This window comes from Homo sapiens, chromosome 10 (genome assembly GCF_000001405.40).
Source record: "Homo sapiens chromosome 10, GRCh38.p14 Primary Assembly".
Taxonomy (NCBI): domain Eukaryota; kingdom Metazoa; phylum Chordata; class Mammalia; order Primates; family Hominidae; genus Homo; species Homo sapiens.
The window spans coordinates 117,836,324-117,839,396 of record NC_000010.11 but is presented as its reverse complement, the minus strand read 5'-3'; the positions used below and the strand labels follow the sequence as shown (position 1 = coordinate 117,839,396).

Genomic DNA, 3,073 nt, shown 5'->3' with positions numbered 1-3,073 from the left:
ATATCACATGCATCACTTTGCCAAATTTAGGCTTTCTGGTTTACCACAGAATGGCCAGGGTAACCGCAGTACACCGATGGGGAGCCAGGAGGGGGCCTGAGGTCACACCAGCAAGCCGGCAGCTGCCTCTGGGGTGGAGATCCAGGCAGCCTTGGAGCTGGGGCAGCCACGGAGCTGGGGCAGCCACAGCCCTGCCTCTGCGTTCAGTTTGACCTTGAAAAGATGGTCTCTCCCCTCCAGAAAATGAGGGAACAGGCCCGTCAGCTAATACTGGGAGAGAAGCTGGGCTTTCTGCTAAGTACCTGGAAATCCTTTACAGGTAAGAGGCTTTAGGCATTGCTGCTCGAAATGTGGTACAAAGACCAACAGCAACAGCATCGCCAGGGAGCTGGTTAGACATGAAGAACCTCAGAACCAGAACCTCAGAACCTATAGAACCAGAGTCGGCGTTTGAGTAAGGTCCCTGGGGGAACTTTCAGACGCTCTGGAGTACCACGCGATTTATGAACATTGAAACAGTCTGCTACAGCTCCCAGCGTGAGCGACGCAGAAGACAGATGATTTCTACATTTCCATCTGAGGTACCGGGTTCATCTCACTAGGGAGTGCCAGACAGTGGGCGCAGGCCAGTGGGTGCGCGCACCATGCGCGAGCCGAAGCAGGGCGAGGCATTGCCTCACCTGGGAAGCGCAAGGGGTCAGGGAGTTCCCTTTCCGAGTCAAAGAAAGGGGTGACGGACGCACCTGGAAAATCGGGTCACTCCCACCCGAATATTGCGCTTCACAGACCGGCTTAAAAAACGGCGCACCACGAGACTATATCCCACACCTGGCTCGGAGGGTCCTACGCCCACGGAGTCTCGCTGATTGCTAGCACAGCAGTCTGAGATCAAACTGCAAGGCGGCAGCGAGGCTGGGGGAGGGGCGCCCGCCATTGCCCAGGCTTGCTTAGGTAAACAAAGCAGCCGGGAAGCTCGAACTGGGTGGAGCCCACCGCAGCTCAAGGAGGCCTGCCTGCCTCTGTAGGCTCCACCTCTGGGGGCAGGGCACAGACAAACAAAAAGACAGCAGTAACCTCTGCAGACTTAAATGTCCCTGTCTGACAGCTTTGAAGAGAGCAGTGGTTCTCCCAGCATGCAGCTGGAGATCTGAGAACGGGCAGACTGCCTCCTCAAGTGGGTCCCTGACCCCTGACCCCCGAGCAGCCTAACTGGGAGGCACCCCCCAGCAGGGGCACACTGACACCTCACACGGCAGGGTATTCCAACAGACCTGCAGCTGAGGGTCCTGTCTGTTAGAAGGAAAACTAACAAACAGAAAGGACATCCACACCGAAAACCCATCTGTACATCACCATCATCAAAGACCAAAAGTAGATAAAACCACAAAGATGGGGAAAAAACAGAACAAAAAAACTGGAAACTCTAAAACGCAGAGCGCCTCTCCTCCTCCAAAGGAACGCAGTTCCTCACCAGCAACGGAACAAAGCTGGATGGAGAATGATTTTGACGAGCTGAGAGAAGAAGGCTTCAGACGATCAAATTACTCTGAGCTACGGGAGGACATTCAAACCAAAGGCAAAGAAGTTGAAAACTTTGAAAAAAATTTAGAAGAATGTATAACTAGAATAACCAATACAGAGAAGTGCTTAAAGGAGCTGATGGAGCTGAAAACCAAGGCTCGAGAACTACGTGAAGAATGCAGAAGCCTCAGGAGCCGATGCGATCAACTGGAAGAAAGGGTATCAGCAATGGAAGATGAAATGAATGAAATGAAGCAAGAAGGGAAGTTTAGAGAAAAAAGAATAAAAAGAAATGAGCAAAGCCTCCAAGAAATATGGGACTATGTGAAAAGACCAAATCTACGTCTGATTGGTGTACCTGAAAGTGATGCGGAGAATGGAATCAAGTTGGAAAACAGTCTGCAGGATATTATCCAGGAGAACTTCCCCAATCTAGCAAGGCAGGCCAACGTTCAGATTCAGGAAATACAGAGAACGCCACAAAGATACTCCTCGAGAAGAGCAACTCCAAGACACATAATTGTCAGATTCACCAAAGTTGAAATGAAGGAAAAAATGTTAAGGGAAGCCAGAGAGAAAGGTCGGGTTACCCTCAAAGGGAAGCCCATCAGACTAACAGCGGATCTCTCGGCAGAAACCCTACAAGCCAGAAGAGAGTGGGGGCCAATATTCAACATTCTTAAAGAAAAGAATTTTCAACCCAGAATTTCATATCCAGCCAAACTAAGCTTCATAAGTGAAGGAGAAATAAAATACTTTACAGACAAGCAAATGCTGAGAGATTTTGTCACCACCAGGCCTGCCCTAAAAGAGCTCCTGAAGGAAGCGCTAAACATGGAAAGGAACAACCGGTACCAGCCGCTGCAAAATCATGCCAAAATGTAAAGACCATCGAGACTAGGAAGAAACTGCATCAACTAACGAGCAAAATCACCAGCTAACATCATAATGACAGGATCAAATTCACACATAACAATATTAACTTTAAATGTAAATGGACTAAATTCTCCAATTAAAAGACACAGACTGGCAAGTTGGATAAAAAGTCAAGACCCATCAGTGTGCTGTATTCAGGAAACCCATCTCACGTGCAGAGACACACATAGGCTCAAAATAAAACGATGGAGGAAGATCTACCAAGCAAATGGAAAACAAAAAAAGGCAGGGGTTGCAATCCTAGTCTCTGATAAAACAGACTTTAAACCAACAAAGATCAAAAGAGACAAAGAAGGCCATTACATAATGGTAAAGGGATCAATTCAACAAGAGGAGCTAACTATCCTAAATATACATGCACCCAATACAGGAGCACCCAGATTCATAAAGCAAGTCCTGAGTGACCTACAAAGAGACTTAGACTCCCACACATTAATAATGGGAGACTTTAACACCCCACTGTCAACATTAGACAGATCAATGAGACAGAAAGTCAACAAGGATACCCAGGAATTGAATTCAGCTCTGCACCAAGCGGACCTAATAGACATCTACAGAACTCTCCACCCCAAATCAAAAGAATATACATTTTTTTCAGCACCACACCATACCTATT

General features: G+C 47.8%; 1 annotated feature.

The window, feature by feature from the left end:
- Window positions 358-1,144: an enhancer, noted in NCBI's record as "H3K27ac-H3K4me1 hESC enhancer chr10:119597764-119598550 (GRCh37/hg19 assembly coordinates)". NCBI's record gives its function as "activates a minimal SCP1, AML or CMV promoter by ChIP-STARR-seq in primed H9 embryonic stem cells {active_cell/tissue: H9 hESC(primed)}" and the evidence as "EXISTENCE:reporter gene assay evidence [ECO:0000049][PMID:30033119]".